Below are 26,290 nucleotides of genomic sequence, written 5' to 3' on the forward strand. Positions count from 1 at the left end.
AGCTGAAGACTCCGGGAGGAGCTGAGTTGCTAATTTGAGGGTCTTGCAGCTGCTGACTTGGGGAGGAGCTGATGTTCTAGTTTGAGGGCCCTACAGTTGGAAATCTGTACAGGAGCTGATGTTCTAGTTTGAGGGTCATGCAGGTGAAAAATCGGGGAGGAGCTGATATTCTAGTTTGAGGGCCCTGCAGCTAGAGATGCAGACAGGAGCTGATGTTGTAGTTTGAGGGTCGTACAGCTGAAGATTCAGGGAGGAGCTGCTCGTGTATTTTTAGGGTCATGCAGCTGCAGACCCGGAGAGGAGCTGATGTTAAAGATTGAGGGTCATGCAGCTGAAGACTCTGGGAGGAGCTGACGTTCTAATTTGAGGTCCCTACAGGTGGACACCGAGAGAGGAGCTTATGTTCTAGATTGAGGGTCATGCAGCAGAAGACTCGGGGAAGAGCTGAGGTTGTAGTTTGAGGGTCGTGCAGCTGGAGAACCAGACAGGAGCTGATGTTGTAGATTGAGCGTCGTGCAGCTGAAGACTCAGGGAGGAGCTGATGTTGTTCGTTTTGAGGGTGTTTCAGCTGGAGACTCAGGGAGGAGCTGACGTTCTAGATTGAGGGTCTTGCAGCTGCAGACCTGTAGAGGAACTGATGTTCTAGATTGAGGGTCACGCAGCTGAAGACTTGGGGAGAAGCTGATGTTCTAACTTGAGGGTCGTGCAGCTGAGGACTCGGGGAGGAGCTGATGTTGACAGCTGTGCAGCTGGAGATCCGGCGGGGAGCTGATGTTCCGGTTTGAGGGCCGGGGAGCTGATGTTCCAGTTTGATGGCCGTGCACCTGGAGACCCAGGGAGGAACATCAAACTGGAACATCTGCTCCCCGCAGTGCCTCCAGCTGCATGGCTCCCAAACTGGAACATCGGTTCCCACCCGGGTCTCCAGCTGCACGGCCCTCAAACTGCAACATCGGCTATCCCCGAGTCTCCAGCTGCACGGCCCTCAAACTGGAACATCAGCTTCTCCCCAAGTCTTTCAGCTGAATGGCCCTCAAACTGGAACTTCAGCTCCCCACCGGGTATCCAGCTGCATGGCCCTCAAACTGGAAGTTCAGCTCCCCACCGGGTCTCCAGCTGCACGGCCCTCAGACTGGAACATCAGCTCCCCACTGGGTCTCCAGCTGCACGGCCCTCAGACTGGAACATCAGCTCCCCACCGGGTCTCCAGCTTCACGGCCCTCAAACTGGAACTTCAGCTCCCCAACGGGTCTCCAGCTTCACGGCCCTCAAACTGGAACTTCAGCTCCCCACCGGGTATCCAGCTGCATGGCCCTCAAACCGGAAGTTCGGCTCCCCCGCGGGTCTCCAGCTGCACGGCCCTCAGACTGGAACATCAGCTCCCCGCCGGGTCTCCAGCTGCACGGCCCTCAAACTGGAATAGTTTGAACTCAGCGGGGAGCTGATGTTCCAGTTTGAGGGCTGTGCAGCTGGAGACCCGGCAGGGAGCTGATGTTCCGGTTGTAGGGCTGTGCAGCCGGAGACCCAGGGGGAAGCTGATGTTCCAGTTGTAGGGCCGTGCTACTGGAGACCCAGGGGTGGAGCTGATGTTCCAGTTTGAGGGCCATGCAGTTGATGACCCGGCGGGGAGCTGATGTTCAAGTTTGAGGTCTGTGCAGCTGGAGACCCGCGGGGGAGCTGATGTTCCAGTTTGATGGCCATGCAGCTGGAGGCTCTGATGGGAGCTGATGTTGCAATTTGAGGGCCATGCAGCTGGAGACCTGGCGGGGAGGTGATGTTCCAGTTTGAGGGCCATGCAGCTGGTGACCTGGCAGGGAGCTGATGTTCCAGTTTGAGGACCGTGCTCCTGGAGACCTAGCGGGGAGCTGATGTTCCAGTTTAAGGCCATGCAGCTGTATGCCCGGGGGGAACTGATGTTGCAGTTTGAGGGCCGTGCATCGGGAGACCCGGTGGGGAGCCAGTGTTGCAGGTTGAGGGCCGTGCAGCTGGAGACCCTGTGGGGAGCTGATGTTCTTGTTTGAGAGCCGTGCAGCTGGAGACCCTGTGGGGAGCTGATGTTCCTGTTTGAGAGCTGTGCAGCTGGAGATCTGGTGGGGAGCTGATGTTCCAGTATGAGGGCCGTGCGGCTGGAGACCTGGTGGGGAGCTGATGTTCCAGTTTGAGGGCCGTGCACCTGGAGACCCGGCAGGGAGCTGATGTTCCAGTTTGAGGGCTGTGCAGCTGGATACCGGGGGTGGAGCTGATGTTCCAGTTTGAGGGCCATGCATCTGGAGACCCAGTTGGTAGCCAGTGTTGCAGGTTGAGGGCTGTGGAGTTGGAGACCCGGGTTGGGGGGAGCTGATGTTCCAGGTTGAGGGCCATGCTGCTGGAGACCCAGCGGGGAGCTGATGTTGCAGTTTGAGGCGGTGCAGCTGGACATGCAGGGGGGAAGTGATGTTGCAATTTGAGGGCTGTGCAGCTGGAGACCCTGTGGGGAGCTGATGTTCCTGTTTGAGGGTCTCGGAGCTGATGTTCCAGTTTAAGGCCATGCAGCTGGAGACCCGGTGGGGAGCTGATGTTCCAGTTTGAGGGCCATGCATCTGGAGACCCGGTGGGGAGCTGATGTTGCAGGTTGAGGGCCATTCATCTGGAGACCCAGTGGGGAGCTGATGTTGCAGGTTGAGGGCTGTGCACCTGGAGCCCCGGGGTGGAGCTGATATTCCAGTTTGAGGGCCGTGCAGCTGGCAATCTGGTGGGGAGCTGATGTTCCAGTTTGAGGGCCATGCAGCTGGAGACCGGGCAGGGAGCTCATGTTCCAGTTTGCAGGCAGTGCAGCTGGAGACCCGGCGGGGAGCTGATGTTCCAGTTTGAGGTCCGTGCAGCTGGAGATCTGGTGGGGAGCTGATGTTCCAGTTTGAGGGCCCTGCAGCTGGAGACCCGTGGGGATCTGATGTTCCAGTTTGAGGGTGGTGCTGCTGGCGACCCAGGCGGGAGCTGATGTTCTAGTTTTAGGGCCCTACAGCTGGAGACCCGGGGAGGAGCTGACATTCCCTTTCGAGGGCTGTGCAGGTGGAGACCTGGGGAGGAACTGATGTTGTTCTAATTTGAGTGTGGTGCAGCTGGAGATCCAGGGATGAGATGGCCCTGCGGTTCAAATATGAGGGTCCCGGAGCTGGACTCTACGTGAGGAACCAATGCTGCCTCTGATGTCTTAGGTTGTGGAGCTGGAAACTCGCGGAGGAGCTGGTATTGGTGTTTCTAGTTGAGGGTCGTGGTATTTCCAGGGTTTCACAGAGGCCAGATTTTATTTCAGTTACTCAGAAGAGAAAGAAAATGTCTTCTGAAAGAGGTGAACTCAGTCATTACCAATAGAAAAAGTATCCACTGTATTTATCTCTTATACAAACAGAAAAATATAACATTTTCCCCCTTAGAATATATATATATATATATATATATATATATATATATATATATATATATATATAAAACTTAAGGTTCTATTGTATGTATCCGAACAATAAAATCTGGAAACCAGCATGAAACTCTATTATTCACATGTTAAAATGTTGAAACTATGACCAAAATATGAAAACTGCTGGAGCTATCAGAAAGACACAAGACAAAAAGCTTCTTGCATATGTATAAACTAAATGTGATAATCTCAAAAAACTGTTCAAAATTATAATTACTTTCCAGTTTAAAAACTTTAATCCTAAATTAAAAAAAAAAATCTATACACAAACCACTGATTTGCCCAGACCAAAGAAAGAAAGAAAGAAAGAAAAGAAAGAAAGAAAGAAAGAAAGAAAGAAAGAAAGAAAGAAAGAAAGAAAGAAAGAAAGAAAGAAAGAAAAAGAAATCAGCGGTAAGGTAAGCAGGACCCAGAGGAGCTGATATTCACAGTTCTTACATGGACAACTCTTTCAGGAATTATCCATAAAGTACTTTATTTTACAACCTGCTTTTCTTATAAAACTAAAGGTGCACTTTTTTACATAAAAGTTTTATACAGTGTTAAAACCAGAACTGTGTGTAAAATACTGCATGTAAATGTTTCTAAATAGTCTTGTTCCAGTGGTTCATCGGTGACTTCTGTGGCTTCGTCATCATTATCCATGGATGATTCTGAAAGAATCTCTCCAGTTTTACTGGAATTGGATCCTACTAATTCTTCTGTTTCACGGCAGTCAGAAGAACCACTACTTTCAGGGCCTTCGTTTTCACTACCTTCAGAATGTAGTAAATCTTTCTCAGCTTGAGACACATCAGATTCCTCCATTTCATTATTTTCCTCAGAAGTCTCTTCATTCACAGTTGAGGCATCATCAGATTCTTTTTCTTGGTTTTTTCTTTCTGGGACCATTTCTCTTGATGTCATAAAAGACTCTAAAAATAAGCAAATGTTGTTGTACTTAAATTTTATATTCAAAATACCTCCACAGTTAAGTTTCGTGAATTCTGATGTTCTGTAGTTCAAATCACATCCCCTGAAATTCAGCAGCAACTGCATACAGGTGGGAGAAAAGCCCAGCGTCGACATTACAAGGAGTTCCATGATGTACAATTCTTTCACAAAAACAATGAATGCAAGAATTTGAGGATCTCCTTACTCCTCCCTTTTACAGATGGTCTCTCAATCCCTTCTTCTTCCTCTTCATCTTCATCTTCTTCTGAACGCGCTGCCGGGTACCATGGCTTTTTTTGTCTTTATCATGAGATGAAGGTGATGCTTCTGTTTCTTCTACCATAACTGAAGAAATTTCGCTGCAAGTCGCTTGACTGGCTATTTCTCCGACTTCGCCTTTTTTGTCAAACCTGAGTCTTTTTACCTCATGCCCCTCAGCTTCCACAGCATCTTCATCTGGATGTTTATTTCTCAAAGGGCTCACTGAGGAAACTTCTGATTCAGATGTCGAAGAGTCACTGAGTTTTCTCTTCATTTTGCTGCAAATTTGCCTCTTTGCTGTCTGTGCTCTCAGGCCACCCATTTGTTGTCATGGGGGCTGACAGAGAAACCTTTGGTCGATTACGTGGCCTGGGTGTCCCAGGCCCATTTATATTAGACCTCTCAGTATAGCTTGGTGCATTTCCAGGAAACATCACACCATTCATTCGATTTAAACTATTGGAATTGTTTTTCTCTGAAGAAGGATAAACACAGCTAACAACCATCACGTTCTTTTCTACTCCTCTGAGAAATTTGTCTGTTCCTGTATAGTTTCTCCTCGGATCTGTTAACAATTCACATAATCGCTGAATAGTAAAAGGGATACGGTTAAATCCAGTGACAGTTTTTCAGTATTCTTCCCTTTGTTTCATCACAGGGAATATATTCGACATTAGGGTTGGGAGGACCTCTTGGCGCAGGAGCTGAAGTTCTGAAATCATCCATCACTTTCTCCAGTTTGAAAATAAAATAGCCTTTAAATTGGGACCACGGAATCTGTTTCTCCAGTCTTGGCTACATGACAAAAGGAACTGATCCAGGACAGGACAGACTTTCTTTTTTGCCTCTTCTCAAAATCTTCCAGCGCCTCCTGGAGCCTGTCGACGTCCATGGCTTCCCGGAGTCCCTCACAGCCTCCGCCTCCCTCCGCGGGTCTCTTGGGGACCGGAACGCCTCCCCCCACCCCCCGACGTCCTCCCACTCCCTCGCACACCCTCCAGCACGCAGGCCAAGTGGGGTGGGGGGGAACGAAGGGAGCCGGGGAAGCGTGTGAGAGAGTGAGACCGACAGAGTGAGCACCTCCCCAAGCCGCTACCACCAGCCCTCCAACATGGCGCCTGGCACATCACCCTAAAAAGTCATTTCTTGGAGAAGCGATGGATGACAGAGATTAATCTGAGAGTTACTATTAATGGAGAAACTTAGAACTTACCATTTTTCCTGTGAGGTTTCGGTGCTGATACTTCTATTCTGTGAGTTCTGGCAATTGTGTCCGTTCACCCAGCCTGGTGATGCAGCAGGTGTCACAGAAGGACCCTGTCCCAGCTGGTCCTGCTCCACTGCTAGGATGGTGTGGCCTCTGATCTGTGACCGTGTCTTGAGGGGAGACCAGGCCCTTGATCACAAGCGTATCCATGGTGAGGTTCCGTGGATGGAAGCTCATGGATGTTCCTTCCTGATGTTCATCTGCCACCATGCTATTGAATGCATCTTGTTTATAACTGTCTTCTAAATATTGAATAGAAATAAAGCGTTTTTACAGTATGGGTAAGGTATAAAGAATATTGACACATTGGACACAGAGGACCTCCACCAAGTTTAGGGAGTAGAATCTGAAGAGACATAGCTTTGGATGCTCCCTGGAGGCCCTGCCTGAGTCCCAGTCCCTTCCCTTCTCCTACGGAGGGAATCACTTCCTGCTTTAGTCTTTATTATTTGCACACTTTCCTTCATAGTATGTTTCTTTCACCGTGTGTGTACATCCCTAAAAGATATGCCATTTAGTTTTTGAACTTTCTGTTTTCTTTTTGAGGCAGGGTCTTGCTCTGTTGCCTCGGCTGTAGTTTTGAACTTTGACGTGAGGGAATTCTCCTGCGTGGCTGCTCCTGCACTGCATGGCTCTGAGCACCTGCTCTGTGTCTATTTTTGTCCTCCATTCTCTCCCTGAGACCCACCCACACTGACATGGCTCATTTTCATTGCTGCATGGTCTCCCGTCGTCTGAGGGGAGCATGGGAAATGTCTTCATCTTCCCGTGGATGAGTGTTTGGCCAGGTTGGGGCCCTTAGGACTGTGTTTTGTTGGGAACGTTCTTGGGCATTTCTTTTGTACACAAGCGCAAGTTTCTTCTGGTCAGTAGCTTTCAAATTTTAAAATTTCATCCCAGGTAAAAATGTAATTTTCCTCATAACCCACAACACACACACTTTCATATACAAGCATAGCAGAAATATACTTCACAAGCGTTAGCAGTGCCTGGTGTTCCTGCTTCTCTCCATTCTCCCCAACGCTGGCATGGATTGGGTTGTGGGATTTTTGCCCGTCTGGTGGTTGTCACGTGATATCTCCCCCTGTTAGGCTGAGCCCCTCTTCATGTTTTCATTAGCCATTCCTCCACATTTCCTCTTCTGTGGAGGGCCGGTTCAGCTCTTTTGCCCAGTTTCTGTTAAGTTGTTTGAATTTTTGCACTTTTCCTTTATTATTCCTATTACTATGTTTTTGAGACAATATCACTCTGCCACCCAGGCTGGAGTGCAGTGGCGCGATCTCAGCTCACTGCAACCTCCATCTTCTGGGTTCAAATGATTCTCCTGCCTCAGCCTCCCAAGTGGCTGGGATTACAGGCACGCACCACCACGCCCAACTAATTTTTATATGTTTACTACAGATGGGGTTTCACCATGTTGTCCAGGCTGGTCTGAAACTCCTGACCTCAGGTGATTCTCCCACCTCAGCCTCCCAAAGTGCTGGGATTATGTGGGTGGCAAGCCACCCAGGCACCGAGGCAAGAGACAGAGGACACGAGCTGTTCCAGTATAATAAAATATAAAACAAGAATAGTTATACCAGATATAGATCTTAGATATGATTATATATGAATATCATTAATCATTAGTTTGTAGCAATTACTTTTTATTCCAATATTATGATAATCCTTGCTCTATAATCGTAGCCTAGGAAAAACCAGGCCATACAGAGATAGGAGCTGAGGGGACATAGTGAGGTGTGACCAGAAGACAAGAGTGCGAGCCTTCTGTTATGCCCGGACCGGGCCACCAGAGGGCTCCTTGGTCTAGCGGTGATGCCAGCGTCTGGGAAGATGCCTGTTACCAGGCGGATAGCAAAAGGTGTCAAGGAACAACACCCGATACTTAGCAGACCGGGAAAGGGCGGGGAGGGGGGGGGGTCTCCCTTTCCCCGGGGGAGTTTAGAGAAGACTCTGCTCCTCCACCTCTTGTGGAGGGCCTGACATCAGTCAGGCTCGCCTGCAGTTATCCGGAGGCCTAACCGTCTCCCTGTGATGCTGTGCTTCAGTGGTCACGCTCCTAGTCCGCCTTCATGTTTCATCCTGTACACCTGGCTCTGCCTTCTAGATAGCAGTAGTAAATTAGTAAAAATACTAATAGTCCCTGATATGCGGAAATAATGGCATAAGCTGTCTTTCTCTCTGTCTCCTCTCCCTCTCTGCCTCGGCTGCCAGGCAGGGAAGGGCCCCCTGTCCAGTGGACACGTGACCCACGTGACCTTACCTATCATTGCAGGTGACTCACATTCTTTACCCTGCCCCTTCTGCCTTGTATCCAATAAATAACAGCGCAGCCAGACATTCGGGGCACTACCGTTCTCCGCGCATTGGTGGTAGTGGCCCCCCGGGCCCAGCTGCCCTTTCTCTTATCTCTTTGTCTTGTGTCTTTATTTCTACACTCTCTCGTCGCCGCACACAGGGAGAGACCCACCGACCCTGTGGGGCTGGTCCCTGCAGGGTTATAGGCATGAGCCACCATGCCCGGCCTGCTTTTTTCTTTTTCAAAAGGACTCTTTCTAGATTATACCTATTCATTCCGGTGACTATATGTGGGGCAAAGATGGGTTTGAATCCACCAGGATAAACGTGCCGGATCTCCTCTCTGATGGAAGAAGAGACAGGGATAGAAGGGTGCAGAGAATCAGAGCCAAGAGGAGGCCGAGTCAGGCGGGGGTTGCAGGCTGCTGTGAGGACTTGGCTGCTTCTCTGAGTCTGGTGGGATTAGCAGGGGATTTAAACAGAGGAACCGTGGGATCTCCCTTATGCATTTCTGCCATGGTTGGCTCAGCTGAACACACCTCTTGAGCAAGACTTGGTCTTGGACACCCAGAGGCCCTTGGTTGAGGGTTTACCTCCTGGCGTGGCCACTGACACATCCACGTTTGTCTCCCACACGGCTGGGCGGCCCCGAGACCTGCTGTGCGTGCCCTTCTCATTGGTGGCATTTCTCAAGTTTGTCCCCTCTCAAGTCTGCCCCATCCGGAAAACCAAACACCTCTCTCTCCTACATGGAAACCCCCGTCAGCACCTCCTCCTGACTCACAGGGCATCCCGTCAACATCACAGTCCCAACCTTCCCACATGGAGAAGCTCATGGGACCCCCGATGGACCAGGACAGTGCCAGCACTAAGACGTGCCCTGAAACTCACAGGAAGAGCGGACCAAGAAGCCGGGAACAGCACGGGGCACTGGGAGCTGCAAACGCCCACGATACTGTGAGAGACGGAGAAAGGTATGACAGGAGGAGCAGACCAAGAAGACGGGAACAGCACGGCGCACTGGGAGCTGCAAATGCCCACGATACCGTGAGAGATGGAGAAAGGTATGGCCATGGCGGTCACAAAATGTTCCTCAACATTTATTAAAGGCCTAAATGGAGAACATAACGCTATCAAACCCTTAGCTAAAAACACAGGGGAAAATTCGTATGGCCTGGGGTTAGGCGAAAAGTTCTTAGACATGACACCAAAAGCATGATTCATAAGATTGACAAATTAAATTTAGTCATAAATTTAAAATTATAATTCTATAAAGCAATATAAAAATCCAAAGAGAATGAAACATGAACTATGGTCTAGAAATAAACATTTGTGAATCACACGTCTCACAACCTACTGGCACGCAGGATATATGAAGAACCATCAAAACTTAACCATAAGAAAGTAAAAACCCCAGTATTAAAGAGAGGGCCAATATTGGAACGGAGGCCTCATCAAAGAAGGTATAAGGAGGGCATATTGCCCGAGAAAGAGGCTCAACATCATAGAGATGCTGGAGAAATGCCAGTCAGCAGTACCTCTGCAAATCCATTAAAATGGCTAAAAACAGACAAAACCCATGGGCCAACCCAGGTTCTAGTGATGATGCAGAGGAACTGGGACCCTCATAAGCTGCAGTGGGAATGGGAGGGGTCCCGCCATGCTGGAAAGTGGTCCTGGAGTTTCTTACGAAGTTAAGCACATCCTTACCATGTCATCCAGCAACCCCACTGCTGAAATGTCCCCCAAGGGAAAACTTAAACGTGCACACACAAACCTGCACACAAGTGTTTAGGCCTCATTCCTCATTGCCAATAACTGGAAGAAAACAAAATGTCCGTCGGCAGGAGCAGGAGAAGGCGTGAACTAACGCGGATGCTTCCACACAGGGGGCACCAACCAGCAGTGGAAAGATGCACCCAAATGCCCCAGGTCTCCCAGGCTACATGCCCGTTGAAGGAAGCTAGTTTCGGTGGGCACAGGCCAAAGGATGCCAACACATGACATCTTGGAGAAGACAGTGTACCGTGTCGGGGAGCAGGGCAGTGGTTTCGAGGGGCTACGGGTGGAGGGGCGAATGGAGGAGCTCTCTGGGGCGATGGCGTGAGCACCTGCACCTCACTGTGGGCTGCTGCGGCTGAGGGGCTGGTACGGCAAACACTGGCTTCAGTACATGCAGACTGAAGGAGGAAGGCTCCCACAACTCAGAGACAGAGGGTGTCGCCTCCATGAAACAAAAACATATTTTAAAAAAAAACCTCTTAAAATTAAGAAAAAAACCACAAAAAGTATTTCATAAGCGCATTGACTTTGAGTTGACACAATCTACCTGGGAGCATGGAACTGAAACCACAGGCTTGGCAATCCCGGAGGGAGAGGGTGGAGGGTTTAGACCTCAATTGAAGGGCTCAGTACCTGGCTATAGGAAATAACATTTAAAAAGCAGCAGGGTGGAAATAATTTCTGCTGATGAGGTTGCATCTCTCCAGATAGCCGGCAGAGTAAATTAAAGCAATATAGTCTTGCTCTGTTGCCCAGGCTGGAGTGAAGTGGCGCCATCTCCGCTCACTGTAAGCTCCGCGGGAGAATCTCTTGAACCCTGGAGGCAGAGGTTGCGGTGAGCCGAGATCCCGCCATTCCACTCCAGCCTGGGCAACAAGAGCGAAACTCCGTCTCAAACCAAACAAAATTAGGTAACTAACCCAGGACTAAAACAGCGTAACTTTAAAAAAATAAGTCTAGGAGGTATGATGTTCATTCCCTGCAAGCCAATAAAGGTCACGTCTGGGGCATACATCTAAAAAAATAATCCTAAAGAGAAAGTTATGGTCACAAATATGTTCTGTATGGTGTTATTAAGAGCAAAAATGGGAAACAACCCAAATATCAGTAAAATGGGACTGAACCCTTGCAAATTTACTAAAATAAAATTGTTAAACATGATGCACAAGACGAAGATTTTAATAAAGTGAAAAGACAGGAAACATACTTACTAATGATTATTGGTTTATTTTTCATGCCACTTCATTCCACAAAAAGATTTCAGATATCTTAGAAAAAGACACACTAGAAATATTAAAATACTATCTGAACCAGAAGCAGAATCAGGGTAAGCTAGCAGAAAGGCGTATGAGCCAAAGGGATCTACCCAGCTTTCAAAGCTGACCACGGCCGTGCGCAGTGGCTCTGTCTGTAATCTCCGCACTTGGGGAGGCCGAGGAGGTAGGATCGCTTGAGGCCACAAGTTCGAGACCAGCCTGGGCAACAGAGCAAGATCCCGCCTCTACCAAAAATTTAAAAATCAGCCGGAAGCCAGACACTAGGGACATGGCTGAGGATCGCTCCCGCCCCTCGGAGGCCAGAAACCGAGGGTCACTCCCGCTCTCTAGAGGCCGGAGGCCCCGGGCCGCTCCCGCCCACCTCCGCGGACGAGCGCCGCCCCTTCGACCCCATTCCCTGAGGTCTGGACGTTCAGGCCCTCTCGGTCTGGGAGATCCCGGAGAACCACCCACGGGGCTTTAAAAAATGTTGGTGCCCAACATCTCCCCGAAATAGGGCCCGCCCTATCTCGGTCGGGGAGCGCGGGACCTCCGTGGCCACCCAGCGCCACCGTCCGCGGGTCCGCTTTGCGCAGGCGCGGCGTCCCCGCCCATTAGACCCCTGCCCGGGCGTGTCGTGGTGCGCAGGCGCGATGTCCCCCACTAGCGCCCCGCCTTGACCCGGCCGTGGTGCGCAGGCGCAGTCTGCGCAGGGACTGGCGGGACTGCGCGGCGGCGACTACAGACGTGTCGGGGGTCCGGGGCCTGTCGCGGTTGCCAAGCGCTCGGCGCTTGGCGCTGGCGCTGGCCAAGGCGGTGAGTCCCTGCCGCGGACCGGGGCAGGGCAGGCGGGGGGCGAGGCGGCGGTAGGAGCGGGACGGTCCCCAGCGGGTCCGAGCGGAGCGGGCGCCGGGTGCCCGCGCCCCCTGCCCGGGGATCGGGAAGGGGCTGGGAGAGCCCTGGGCCGGTGCGAGGGGGAGCCGCGGAGTGTACTCGGGGGCCTGGGGAGCTCGGTCCTTAGCAGGTAGGCCGCGTCCCGGTGAAGGTCGCGACCCCGCGGGCTTGCTGGGCGTCCCCTCCGCCGCTTTGGTCCGGGCCTGGGGTCCGGCGACCTCGCGGGCTGAGGTAGCCCCTCGCCTCTGCCTGGCGGGTGGACTCGGGGAGGAGTCGTGTCTGCCCAAGGTCACCGGGGTGGAGTCCTGGCTGGGCCGGGCCTCTGCCGCCCTCTGTGAGGGTTGTCCTGCGGGGCCGCCCGCAGCCCGTGGGTGGGGCCGGCGGGGCGGGTGAAACCGCCTGGGTGGGTGCGAGGAGTGGCCGGGCTCGGCCGGGTGGGTGTCCGGTGGGAAGCGCGGCGCGCCCGAGCTTGGGCTTGCAGTTCCCCTTTCCAGAGAGCGCAAATCTGTGCATGTCCACTTCGGGATCTTGGAAGTTAAGGACCTGTACTTTGGGTCCCGTTTGGTGGCCCTTGTGCCACAAAAATGTGCCGGTGTTTAAAAGCAGCTGTGCCAGTTTTTAAAAATCAGACGGAGAGCTCAGGGCACTGACCGAGCGAGGACTCCAGGACCTGTGCTTGCCTGTGCGCTGAGTACCTCGAGGGCCGGGCTCGGCTTAGTCCAGGATGATGGTCAGGGTTATACTTCCCTGAGCCCTTGCTCTCTGAGTGTCTGAATGTGCCCTCTACGATTGCATCTTCAGAATCGGCCTTCTAGGATTTCATTTAATCAAGCGAAATTGGATAGGTTTAGTTGTTTGGTTCTTTTAAATGAACTTAGCCACCCACCTCTTAATTACAAAGTAATTTTAAATTGCAGAGTAAAAATCTCAATAGAGGAACCAAGGCATTCAGCAATATTGATTTGAATTATGCCTGTGATTGTGCAATTTTCTCCTTTTTGAAATAGTTATTGAAAATCTCTTTGAATTAAATGTGAGGATTAGTCATACAGCCATCCTGTCAACATCGGAAAGCGTGTAAACCGTTCTAGCGTGTTGCTGTGGTTGGTGCTGACTGAGCAGAGACCCCCGCCGCATCTTGGGCTCTTAGGAGCTGCTGGGAGGGCGTCCACAAGCAGGAGGTGAAGCCCATGGTCAGTGGGACTTTTTAGGGGCAATGGTAGCTTGTGGTTGGAGAGAAGCTAGATAGAGCCAGTGCCTTTGTCCCCAACCCAGATGGTGCCCAGTGTTCCTTCTGCAGACTAAGGCCCCAGGCACCTCAGACCAGATGGCAAGATAGCAAAATGGAACCAAAATTTAGTCTTGGGTTTTGTAAAAGTCTTTTTATCTTGATGAAGGTAGCTTTTCCTACAGAAAGTCGTGCGTTTTTGGGTTCTTCGTTGGCTGCTTTTGTGATTGTGTAGGCTGTACATGCAGATTCGTTTCTTGCTCATGATTTATAGGTGCATTTTATTCGATGAGGACCCCTTACTTTGCTAGATTTCGGATATGAATGTCTCTGCACTTGTTACTTTTCCCCCTCCACCTCCTGATTCAGTCATCTGAAATTCTGTATTGTTAAGCAAGGTCTAAGTATTCCTTTTAGTTATATGTTCCCCATGTTTTTTCTTAGAGGAAATGTTTGATAGTTTCTCCTAAAAAATTAATAATTGGCACAAAAGACTAGTTTTGTGTCAAAAGTAGTTTTGAGTTTTATCTAAAGACTGACATTGGCTTGAAGTTGGGCTTTCCAGATTCAAAAATCTGCCCCAGATGAGATTTAGATGCAGAGGGTTAGTGTCCTTTTCCCCAGGGGGATGGCGTGATGATTTGTTCAAGATTGTGTTATAGTAGCTGCCCCTTTTAAGGCAGCTGTGTGTGTGTGTGGTGGGGAGTGGGCAGTGTGTATTCCACATCAACATCCTAGAAAGAACGAATAAACATTTAGTGATCTCACTGTTTCTACTTACATTTGGTATAATGTACTGTTTTTATTGGTGCTATTACCTATGTTAATAGGGCACTTTACAAAATTTTCAAGAACGTTTTTATTAAAATTATTTCAAAGACTTCTTTCTTAAAATATGATTTTACCATGTAAAAAATTATACTAAGGTAGAAGAATATTCGTTCTTTCTCATTTTCTGAAAAAAGAAAAAACTAAATTAGCTTATGTCAATAAAAACAGACTAGAAATTGGAGAAATGAAGAATAATTTTTTATCCCACATAATAAGTAATTTGTGAATTGCAAGTATTTCTAAATACTTGAAGACATCCCTCACATCCCCTCTTCTGATTGCTGAGTGCATAATTTCCTAAAGCTTTTTTTTTTCTTTTGTTTTTTTGGAGACATTGTCTCGCTCTGTCGCCCAGGCCGGAGTACAGTGGCACAGTCTCGGCTCACTGCAACCTCTGCCTCCTGGGTTCAAGCGATTCTCCTGCCTCAGCTTCCCAAGTAGCTGGGATTACAGGTGCCCGCCACCACGACCAGCTAATTTTTAGTAGAGAGGGGGTTTTGCCATGTTGGCCAGACTGGTCTCGAACTCCTGACTTCAGGTGATCTGCCCACCTTGGCCTCCCAAAATGCTGGGATTACAGGCATGAGCCACCACGCCCAGCCCCTAAAACTATTCTTGATGATATTTCTGAGACTATTCAGTGGTCTTCTAAAATGCCGCCAGCAGAATGGAAAACGTATCCCCTAAATGGCTGGCCAACCTTAGCATATGGGACAGTGTGACCTCTCTCACACAGAGCCACTAAAAACTAAACACTAAAACCAGTTTTCTTGAGTAAAGGTTTCTAAGATGGAAAATTTAAGCAGTGAGATATGTCAAGTTGTAGACGTTGGCCAGGAAAAAGCCAGCATCAACCAGGCAGGGGAGAGTGTGCATCCGACATCCTCCTGTGTGATGAAGGGATGACACCTCTTCCCTCTGGGCTGTCAGCCTTTACTGTTCCAGGATACAGATCTCCTGATTCAGGTGTCCAGTGCCTTTTGAACTGACCGCAAGCCCTCCTGGACGATTGGAACTGTAATGTGGAAAGGGCTCTGATGGAGCCGGTTAAAATGCTTCATTATTTGCAAAATACCACATACAGTAATACGATCTGGATGTCTTTCCCCTCCTCCACTAAGTAGCATAAGTGAAGACTTCCCAGAGGAAGTGCGTCTTTTTCATCTCGTATCTGAGTCAGTGAGTATCCTTTTTGGAAACAAGCTTCATCCTGGTTTTCTAGAGTGCCAAGTCAGGGTGGAAAGGAGGACCTGGGGGCTCAGTCCTTCCTTGCCCCTTGGGCTGCCCTTCAGGGTTAAATAGAGGGTCCCAGCTGAGCTCTCTGGATGCACAGGAGCACCTGGGTACATAAGAAGGTGAACAGTTTTCAAGGGGAAGTTTGAATTACTATCCCCCACAGCATTTGTTCCTTCAGGACACTAACCCTCTGGATCTGTGTCTTCTGTGTCTCCAGTGGCCAACAGTGTTGCAAACAGGAACCCGAGGTGTTCACTTCACTGTTGAAGGAACGAGAGGGCATCTGCTAAAGTTTCAGATTCCGTAAGTTCATGCTTTTTGTTCCATTATAAATGATTTTTTTGGCTTGGGGGTAAGGATCTATACCAGTTTGTTTTCATATGAGTCATAGACATAAGGGAAAAATTTCTCATAGGTATCCAATGCATGCTGAAATTATTTTCAGTGTAATAATACTTAATTGCAAGTACCAATATAAACATAGATGTTAACATTTTTACTTGTATCTGTTATGTATCTATAAATTAGATTTAAATTTAGGTCAAGTAAAGCAATAAATTAAAATGAACAGTATCTGCTGTGATAGATGATAAAATCCTACTGAAAAGAGGACCGTGGGGCCCTTCCGGTGTGGGTTCCTTGGTATTGAGTGTGCCTGTTCTCTCTCTGTTGGAAAACTGAAACGTGCTGAGAAGTTCTTTTCTCATAAGCTCACAATAGCGACTGAATGCTCCTTGGTACCTTCTCAGGCATAAGCATAGGCACGGCCCTGAAGTAGAGTTGTGGTCCTCAGTCTGATCCCATGGAATAGACCCTCTACCATTCATAGAATCTGATTATCAGTCCCTTCTCCAGGTGCGAATGTGCCTACTTCTCCCTGCACTGTTCAGGGCTCAGCCCCAGGACAGGATGGAGGCCCTGTGTGCCCAGCAGTTGCTCCTTTTATCTTTGTCAAGCTCTTTCACTGGCACAAGAGTCTTCATGTTTGGCATAGTGGAACCTGTGCTTGACAGGTGAATTTTTCTTTTCCAGATTTCTGCTCAGTATCCAGTAGTGGATCATGAATTTGATGCAGTGGTGGTAGGCGCTGGAGGGGCAGGCTTTGCGAGCTGCATTTGGCCTTTCCGAGGCAGAGTTTGATACAGCATGTGTTACCAAGCTGTTTCCTACCAGGTCACACACTGTTGCAGCGCAGGTAAGAGAAAGGTGCCCCACTGTGCTCCCACTCCGTGCAGGTCCCGCGCAGCCTCGCACTTTCTACCTGGGCAGCCTCCTGCCTCCTCCCTGTGCTCCAGCCACTTGGCCTCTTGCTGTGCCTTACTCAGCTCACCCATTCAGGGGTCTCTCCCTGGAGCCTCTTCCCTGGGGACTTTGAAGGGCGGGAGCCTTGTTGTCACTCTTAATTCAGACTCCAGTCACACTTGGGTTTTCTCTGACCATCTACCCTCCCCACCCACCCCTGCCACCCCAACACCTTAAGAAAAGGAGATCATCTAAAGAGGAGGATTCAGAATTTAGGTTGGGGAAGAAAAGGGCAAGGGTTTCATTTGTCCCTGGTGCTGCTGTCTTCTGGGACTCTCTGAGGGGTAAGACGGTGGTGGGCACACACAGCCAAAGGAAGTAGGGGTACAGGGGAGTGCGACTCTGAGTATGGAGTTTATTACTTGGCAGGAAGCACTTCTAATCTTTAACACATGCCCGTAAATGCCGTTGGGAAGATTTGTTAATAAAATTATGCGGAGAGATTCATGGAGTACCTTTTCTGTGCCAGATACGTTAGGTAATAAGCATATTACAGGTAGCCTTTCACTCACTGCTCCAGTCAGCCCTTCCTGGAGTTCCCTCTGTCTCCACCACACAGATGAGGAGACTGAGGCTAAGGGATGGAATCACTGGGTGAGTCTGGGAGGGGTTGTGATCTGGAATCTGTCAGGCCTGGCTGCTCCTCTGCTGAGGTCAGCCCTCACTGGGAGTCACCATGTGAGTAGCTGGCTTTCTCTGAATCCCCCAGCGGGTGGATTTGGGCCTGGAAGACAAAGCTGGGGCTCCTGTTTGTGGCTTGTAAGGAGTGGTTGGTGTTTCCAGGTTGGAATCAATGCTGCTCTGGGGAACATGGAGGAGGACAACTGGAGGTGGCATTTCTATGACACCGTGAAGGGCTCCGACTGGCTGGGGGACCAGGATGCCATCCACTACGTGACGGAGCAGGCCCCCACTGCCATGGTCGAGGTGATGGGCGGGAGGCTCTGGGTGCTCTGGTGGTCTGTTTCCAGTACAAGAGTCCTGGAAAAAATGTAAGCAGTTGAGGCAGATGTGGCAGCCGAAAGAATGGTGATTAGCAAAGCTCACAAGAGAAGTCTTTGTCCATCATGAACTATGTATTACATGTAATAAGAAAAACTTCTCTTTGATGAAGTGTTGACATTTTCATAAAATAGGTTAATTTGGGTTTGCAGATTTGTATTAAAGTTGTTTAGTGTAGATTAGCTGTGAATATCTTGACTCCTTTAGGGTAATAAGGCTTTTGTTTGTTTTTATCTTTCACAGGTAGAAAATTATGGCATGCCGTTTAGCAGAACTGAAGATGGGAAGATTTATCAGCGTGCATTTGGCGGACACAGCCTCAAGTTTGGAAAGGGCAGGCAGGCCCATCGGTGCTGCTGTGTGGCTGATCGGACCGGCCACTCAATATTGCACACCTTATATGGGAGGGTAAGGCTGCCCCCCGTCCACCTGAGACAGGACACATAGTGCTGGGGCTTGTGGTGACAGCGGGGAATGGGTTAGCGTGCCCAGTGAGTCAGCCAGAGATTGCGTAAAAAGCAACAGAGAACAGCCGTGTGGGGCACATGCAGCGACTGTGGATGTGACAGGAGCAGGCGTGTGCCTTGAGAAGCTGCCCCTAAGGCAATGTGTGAGTTGTTGCCTCTATGTTGGGAAGTTGAATTGATAATCTTATATACCAGGTTTTCACTTGGGATATGTGACACTCAGCATGTAAGAACAGAGCAAGCAGGCCAGGCACAGTGGCCCACGTCTGTAATCCCAGCACTTTAGGAGGCCAAGGCAGGAGGATCACTTGAGACCAGAAGTTTGAGACCAGTCTGGAGAACATAGTGAGACCCTGTCTCTACAGAAAGTTTAAAAAGTAGCTGAGCATGGTGGTACATGCTTGTAATCCCAGTTACTCAGGAGGCTGAGGCAGGAGGATCACTTGAGACAGTGAGCCATGTTCATACCACTGCACTCCAGCCTGAGCAACAGGAGACCTGTCTCAAAAAAAGACAAAGAACAAGTATTTTAAGGCTCTTTTACCACCTCTGAGTTCCTGAATGGATTGGTTTGGTTTGTTTGTTTTGTTTTGCTTTGTTTTTGAGACGGAGTCTCACTCTCACCCAGGCTGGAGTGCAGTGGCGCGATCTCTGCTCACTGCAACCTCTGCCTCCCGGGTTCAAGCGATTCTCCTGCCTCAGCCTCCAGAGTAGCTGGGACTACAGGTGCACGCCGCCACGCCTTGCTGATGTTTTGTATTTTAGTAGAGACAGGGTTTCCCATGTTGCCCAGGCTGCTCCCGAACTCCTGAGCTCAGGCAGTCCACCTGCCTCGGCCTCCCAAAGTGCTGGGATTACAGGTGTGAGCCACCACACCCGGCCATGGATTGTTTTCATATTAACTGTTATCACTGGACAAAGACTTGAGGTGACAATAGTTACTGGGTAATCAGGGTCAACTTTGGCATGACCAAACAATATCCTGAACAGTATTGATTCAGAGTAATCCATGTTCTGAGCTTTGTTGTTTTCTGATGCATGGGGACGGATCAGTAATGTGCAGGTTGTTAGAACACCAGTGACTTCTCTGTGGCTGAGTGCATCGACAAGTGTGTGGTGGGAGGAGACGGCGGCTCCTTCCGGAGCAGGAGCTGTCATGTGGGGAGCTGGCCCAGGCTCACGAGAGCGACTTGCGCTGGCTGAGGGAACGGCAGGTCCAGGCGGGCAGCGCTGTCCGGCGCCTACCTTTCTGCGGTGCCGGAATCTGCTCGTCTGCAACCGTCCGCTTTGGTAGCTGCCAGCCACATGGGGCTGTTGCTAATGTGGCAGGTGTAGCTGAAGAGCTGAACGTTTTGACTTATTTTAATTAATTAAGTGGTTATGTGTTGCCAGTAGCTCCCATCTGGGCTGTGACCCCATGGTCTGCGGATCTCACTCTGGCACCAGACTCCGAGTGGAGCTGCATGCGGCCACCGGACAGTGTGGAGTGCCTCTTCGGGTTGTGTAGAAGTAGGAAATGTGTCACCAACATAGGAGCTGTTGCTGCTGCGTTCTCTAGCACACCTGCCTTGTTGGTACTGCTGGGCGTGGAATGCCTCTCGGGCTCTGACAGTGTCATTGACACTGTTGCTGATCTCCTTGGATTTACCTGGTCCATTTGGATCAAGTTCTTTCACCTATTCACATGAGCAGATATCACCTTAAAACCTTAAAGGTTGGCTTAACACTTCTTGCCCTTTTTTTTTCTTTCTTTTAGTCTCTGCGATATGATACCAGCTGTTTTGTGGAGTATTTTGCCTTGGATCTCCTGATGGAGAATGGGGAGTGCCGTGGTGTCTTCGCACTGTGCATACAGGACGGGTCCATCCATCGCATAAGAGCAAAGAATACTATTGTTGCCACAGGGTAGGAATCTAATTTCTACTTTATTTCCTTTGTAAAAATGAATAAATTTCATTTAGAGTCTCTTTATTTTAAGGAAAATAGAGGCATTGTAGAATAGCAGTTCAGACACAGGCCTTGATATAACCACGTGAGGGTGATGGCCTTTCCCAGCCATGGTTCCTCACCTGTAAAGGGTGAGGACAGCAGCACCTGCCTCGGGGTGAGAAAGCATGGCCCTCATTAGTCGGTAGTGGCTGCCGTCAGGTTCACAGCGTACCTCTCCCGATTTTAGATGAGGAAACTGTGGCCCGAAGAGTCACATGGGGTTTTCTGGCAAAATCCCTCTTGTTTTAGTGGGTTCTATGTTTATACTGATTCCTGGGATAGATAAGTCTGTCTTCTCCACATAATGAAAATAAAAAACTTTAATTTTATACAGTGGCAGTTACTTTAGCCACTTTAAAAGTTAAGAAGTGTCAGTACAGCCAAGAAAAAAAATCAGCAAAACTACAGGGTGGGAAAAAATATTTTCCAAACCATATATCTAATGATATCTTAGTATCTAAAATAGCAAAAAAAAATAAAAAATAAAAAAAAGCCCTACTAAAACCAACCTACTAAACCCTACTAAAAAACAACCCTACTAAAAATGGGCAAAGGACTTGAATAGATATTTTTCCAGAGAAGACATACAAATGGCCAGTTGATGTATGAAAAAATGCTCAACATCACCAAGCACCAGAGAAATGCAAATTAAAACCCCAATGAGTATCATCTCATCTCGCTCCAGTTAGAATGGCTGTTACCAAGAGGACAAAAGATAGTGAGTGTTGATGAGGATGTGGAGAAAAGGGAACCCTGTGTGCTGTTGGTGGGAATGTAAATTAGTACAACTATTGTGGAAAACTCTGGAGGTTCCTCAAAAGTCACAGGACTACCATGTGCTCCAGCAACCTCATTTCTGGGTGTATATCCAAAGGGCATGAAATCAGAAGCTCAAAGAGACACCTGGACCCCCATGTTCATTGCAGCGTTATTCACAATACCCGAGATATGGAAACAACCTAAAAATTTTTGGTGTTTAATGACAATGTGGTGTGTGTACACAACTGAATATTATTCAGCTATGAAAACGAAGGAAATCCTGTCATGTGTGACAACGTGGATGAACCCAAAGTCATTATGTTAAGTGAAACGACCCAGGCACAGAAAGACAGATACTGCATGTCACTCATATGTGGATCTAAAACTGTCACAACTCACAGAAACAGAATAGGACAGTGGTTGCCAGGGGCTGGGGGAATGCAGACTGTGGCGATGCTGATTAAAGGTGTAACTTCCCGTCACAAGGTGAAGTTCTGAAGGTCTGATAAACAGCATGGTGGCTAGAGTTAATGTTATAGAGCATGGTGGCCAGAGTTAACATTATACAGCATGGTGGCTACAGTTAAAATCATACAGTACGGTGGCTATCATTAATATAACTTGAAATTTGCGAAGAGAGTAGACCTTAGGTGTCTGTATCTCCAAAAAAAAGGATAATTGTATGAGGTGATAGATGTGTATTAAGTTGATTGTGTCATCAGTTCACAAAATAAATCATCACGCTGTACACCTTAAATATATACAGTATTGTTTTTTGTTTAATTCATCAATCATACCTCAGTAAATCTGGGGGAAAAAAACAAAATCCATAAAAATTTTAAAATTTTCATTATAAAAGTAGTATATGCTTACTGGGGAAACCTTTTGAACAGCACAAATCTAAAATACAAATAGGGCCAGACGCATAGTGGCTCATGCCTGTAATCCCAGCACTTTGGGAGGCCGAAGTGGGTGGATCACCTGAGGTCAGGAGTTCAAGACCAGCGTGGCCAACGTGGCGAAACCCAGTCTCTACTAAAAATACAAAAATCAATTGGATGTGGTGGTGCACACCTGTATTCCCAGGTACTTGGGAGGCTGAGGCAGAAGAATCACTTGAACTTGGGAGCCAGAGGTTGCCGTGAGCCGAGATTGTGCCACCGTACTCCAGCCTGGGCGACAAGAGTTAGACCCTATCTCAAAATAAATAAATAAATAAATAAAATATAAATGGAAGTCTCTTCTCTGATCCCAGGCTTCTATCCTACCTGCGCAGGGTAGCAGCACCACTGGCGTGGCCCCCAGTGATGTGTGTGGGGTGTGCGTGAGTAGGGGGTTGTGTGCACACAGCACTGAGAAGATGGTGCCCGGGGGCTGCCCTGTCCGTTCTGTGATCTCATTAGACAGGAGGTCCGGACGTGGGCCACTGTGTGCAGTCACTGCTCTCTGTTGTTTCCATAGGCTACGGGCGCACCTACTTGAGCTGCACGTCTGCCCACACCAGCACCAGCGACGGCACGGCCATGATCACCAGGGCAGGCCTTCCTTGCCAGGACCTCGAGTTTGTTCAGTTCCACCCCACAGGTAGGGCAGGACGCCTTGCCCGGAAGGCGTTCGGCTCGTGTGTCTTGTAAGCGTGTGGTGCCTACTCATTGCTCTTCCATAGTTTTATGTAATAACATGGTTTTGAAGATCAGCTTCCATAGCTCTCAGGTCCTAACTTCAATGTCATTTCCTTAAGGAGACTTTTCCCACACTCCCCTTCCCCTAAGGCAGTTTGGGCCACCATCTTATGCATTTCTCAAGAGCCCTAAACCCTGCCTTGGTGATACTTATGCCAGCAGTAAAGCAGGGATTGAGGCCGGGCATGGTGGCTCACACCTGTAATCCCAGCACTTTGGGAGGCCAAGGCAGGTGGATCACCTGAGGTCAGGAGTTCAAGACCAGCCTGCACAACATGGTGAAACCTCATCTCTACTAAACATAAAAAAATCAGCTGGGCATGGTGGCATGCACCTGTGATCCCAGCTACTTGGGAGGCTGAGGCGGGAGGAATGCTTGAACCTGGGAGGCAGAGGTTGCAGTGAGCCGAGATCGCACCACTGCGCTCCAGCCTGGGCAACAGAGTAAGACTTCGTCTCAAAAAAAAAAAAAAAAAAAGTAAAGCAGGAATTGTTCAGTGTCCCTCTTTGCAGTGAGGTTGTCAGCAACTCGGGCAGGCAGGTCTTCTCATTAACTGGGGTGCTCCACGCCCAGCACATGGTAGGGTCTCCATCGGGGTTTACTGAGTGAGCATTCTGAGAGCTGGGTGAATGCCGTGGAACCAAGAAGCAGCACAGGCAGATTTCAGCTTTGTAGGACAACACAGAGCTTCCGTGACAATGGGATGTAAAGTTAAGACACAGCCATGAGAGAACCCCATGTGACGTTGGGCGCTGGGCTCAGCCCACGTGACCACTGAGGGAGCTTGTCGTGGGGAAGATGAGCTCGTCTTGGGGACGTCTGACGGTTGAGGTTACGAATGTGCAATTTGGAGACATTAACTCAGAAATGACAGTTGAAGTCTTGAGTTTGGAGGAGGTTCTTCAAAATGAGTCAGAGACAGACACACACACGTCTGCCTCTTGTTTGAGGTGACTCGTCCTGGACTTTTCTGGGTTGCTTTTCTGACCTGTGGACGATGGAGACCCCTGAAGTGGTGCCAAAGAACCAGACCTGTGTCTTCTCTTTCTCTGTCAGTGTCAGCTTTCTGATCCCTGGAAGGGATGAAAATAAGAAATGGATTTGTTGTAGGTTTTTTTTTTAATTTGTTTAGAGATGGGGTCTTGCTCTGTTGCCCAGGCTGGAGTGCAGTGGAGCAATCTTGACTCACTGCAGCCTTTGTCTCCCAGGCTCAAACGATCCTTGCACCTCAGCCTCCCAAATAGCTGGGACTACAGGCATGTGTTACCATGCCCAGCTAATTTTTGAGGGTTTTTTTGTTTTTGGTAGAGACAGGGTGTCACCATTTTAAGCCCAGGCTGGTCTCAAACGCCAGGGCTTAGGCGATCCTCCTGCCTCGGCCCCTCAGGGTGCTGGCATTATAGCCATGAGCCACTGCACCCGGCCTGTTGTATTTTTTATTACTGTTTTTAATCAGCAAAATGTCAGTGAGCCCCTGAATTCCCTCTGTAATTTGCTTAGAGCTCCACTTCTCATGCTTTGTCTTCAATATGTGAGAAGTAACCACAGAAAAAAGAGCATGGAAACTTAGAAAATCAAAAGGCAGGTGAGATGCAAGAATCACATTCTTGTCTTGAAAGCAAGATTGCCCTTTTTGTATACTAATAAAAATTGTAGCTTTTGAAATACATTTAGTTTAGGGTTTTTGATCTCCTTTGTTAAAATTCGAGAGCTTGGCACGCCCTGTTTCTCATCGCACTGAGGAGTCACAGAGCCGCTGTTTGGGGCACAGACCGCCGGACTGCCCAGGTTTGGGTTTGAGCTCTGTCCTCAGCTGCATGACTGGATGTTACCAAGCGTTAATTTGCTTGTCACTGAGAAAGGGGGTCATACTACCCAGAGTTGTTGTAAGACTTAAATGAGTTTAATATGTGGAAAGCAGCTAGAACTGCCCATAGCAAGTGCAGTGTAAAGATGAACTAAAATAATCATTATTACTGTTCTTGCCACTGTTTGGGTAACTTAGATATGAATTCTCCAAGCTAGTATTCTTAACTAGTCACCACAGTATCATAGTGCAAAAGAATGTTCAAAAATTAAAACAAAATTTGAGGCATCCAACGTACACCGGGCTGTAATCAGAGTATTGGCCAGAGGTCTGTGGGCCGGCCTTTCTCCTCTCTGGGGACGCCACTCTGCCCCAGCCTCTGCTGCAGCTGTCAGCCTTGTCAGTGCTTTTTGTTATCCAGACTTTCTACTGTATCTTAACTGTTCTTTCTGTTCAGTTTTGCATATAATGCCTTCTGCATATCTTTTTTGTCTCTCCCCCAAAAAATATCTTGTAAAAAAAAGTAATGCATTTGAAATAGAGACCTAGCAATTGTTAGGTTATAAATGTGTGGTTTTTTGCAGGCACATATGGTGCTGGTTGTCTCATTACGGAAGGATGTCGTGGAGAGGGAGGCATTCTCATTAACAGTCAAGGCGAAAGGTTTATGGAGCGATACGCCCCCATCGCGAAGGACCTGGCGTCTAGAGATGTGGTGTCTCGGTGGATGACTCTGGAGATCCGCGAAGGAAGGTGCGTGTGGTTTACCACCAGCACTGTCTGAGCGGGCACACGGGCCGGGGTTGCTTCTGTGAGTTTCAGCACCGCTCGCCCTCACCTTCGTGTGCAGGCACATGTGCACAGCCACCTCTCTCAGCTGCCGGCAGGCGTCTGTTAGTCTGCGATATTTTCCTAAAGACCTACATTTTGAAAATTTTAGCCAGTTTCTTTCTCAAATCTGTGGAACAGAGTTTCTCTTAGTGTGTGTGAGTATGTGACGGAGTATGGGAGAGAGAGACACGCACCCAACCTGAAGTCGGCGTGTGAGCCTTGGGTGTGGTGTCTGATACCCACAGATGTTTTTCGGCAGCTTTCAAAGTGTGTGGGTCATTTGCCTTTCAGAAGAACAGTTTGCAGCTCTTTCATTGCCTGACCCTGTTCTTTAATGTGATAACACTTGCTAAATATCTGCTGGTATCTGGTGTGGCCTTTAGAGGTTTTACATTTTTATATTAAAAAAAAAAGAAGTCGGATGGTTTCTTGTAATATGGTGGCCCTCCGTATCCATCGGTTCCACATGTGTGGTTTCAACCAACTATGTACTGAAAATAAAATTGCATCCTTACAAACACGCAGACTTTTTTTTTTCCTTGTCATTGTTCGCTAAGCAACACAGTGTAGCAGCTATTTACCTAGCATTTACATTGTATTAGGTACTATGAGTAATCCTGGAGTTGCTGTACAACTTAAATGTAAAACTTGAAATGAGGATGATTTAAAATATGGAGGAGGATGTGCATAGGTTATATGCAAATACTCTGCCATTTTATATTAGGGACTTGAGCATCCACGGATTTTGGTGTCCGTGGGGGTCCTGGACCCAACCTGCCACGGATACGCAGGGACGACTATTTGGCATAGAGGCCTAATGCTTTTACCAAGGACAGCCGCTGCAGGCTGTGATCCCTGAGACGAGTGTGAGTTCAGTAAGGGCAGAGTTTTTGTTCTGGTTCTCAGCTGTGTCCCAGCACCTGGGATTGTCCCTGGCATACAGTAGATGCTTAGAAAAGATTTGATGAGAGGGTGGCCGTACATGAGGGGAAATTTTCCTCAGTATCAAA

At 48.7% G+C, this 26,290-nt stretch overlaps 1 long non-coding RNA gene and 2 pseudogenes across 3 annotated transcripts in view, besides 1 other annotated feature; 1 reads left to right on the forward strand and 2 right to left on the reverse strand.

Moving 5' to 3' along the window:
- On the reverse strand, window positions 537-6,061 carry LOC105374297 (uncharacterized). 2 transcript variants are annotated; one of them, NR_136186.1, is made up of 3 exons: window positions 5,862-6,061; window positions 3,073-3,295; window positions 537-639 (listed from the first exon to the last, which is right to left on the reverse strand). It is a non-coding gene; the product is annotated as an uncharacterized LOC105374297 (long non-coding RNA). The 2 variants fall into 2 exon arrangements; NR_136185.1 differs by having other exon boundaries at window positions 598-686; window positions 2,979-3,319.
- Window positions 547-1,047: an enhancer, noted in NCBI's record as "H3K4me1 hESC enhancer chr3:195373516-195374016 (GRCh37/hg19 assembly coordinates)". NCBI's record gives its function as "activates a minimal SCP1, AML or CMV promoter by ChIP-STARR-seq in naive H9 embryonic stem cells {active_cell/tissue: H9 hESC(naive)}" and the evidence as "EXISTENCE:reporter gene assay evidence [ECO:0000049][PMID:30033119]".
- Window positions 5,427-5,767, reverse strand: LOC100288016 (serine/threonine-protein phosphatase 4 regulatory subunit 2-like; annotated as a pseudogene).
- A 5,879-nt stretch (window positions 6,062-11,940) lies between the features above and the next one.
- The window catches only part of SDHAP2 (SDHA pseudogene 2), a 30,833-nt pseudogene continuing 16,483 nt past the window's right edge, over window positions 11,941-26,290 (forward strand). The window contains exons 1-8 of the transcript NR_003265.3: window positions 11,941-12,067; window positions 15,658-15,743; window positions 16,473-16,635; window positions 17,526-17,669; window positions 17,988-18,152; window positions 19,968-20,116; window positions 22,421-22,543; window positions 25,034-25,202. The product of NR_003265.3 is annotated as an SDHA pseudogene 2 (transcript). The remainder of the gene's footprint in view (window positions 12,068-15,657; window positions 15,744-16,472; window positions 16,636-17,525; window positions 17,670-17,987; window positions 18,153-19,967; window positions 20,117-22,420; window positions 22,544-25,033; window positions 25,203-26,290) is intronic.

The sequence above is a fragment of the Homo sapiens genome, chromosome 3 (genome assembly GCF_000001405.40).
Source record: "Homo sapiens chromosome 3, GRCh38.p14 Primary Assembly".
Taxonomy (NCBI): Eukaryota; Metazoa; Chordata; class Mammalia; order Primates; family Hominidae; genus Homo; species Homo sapiens.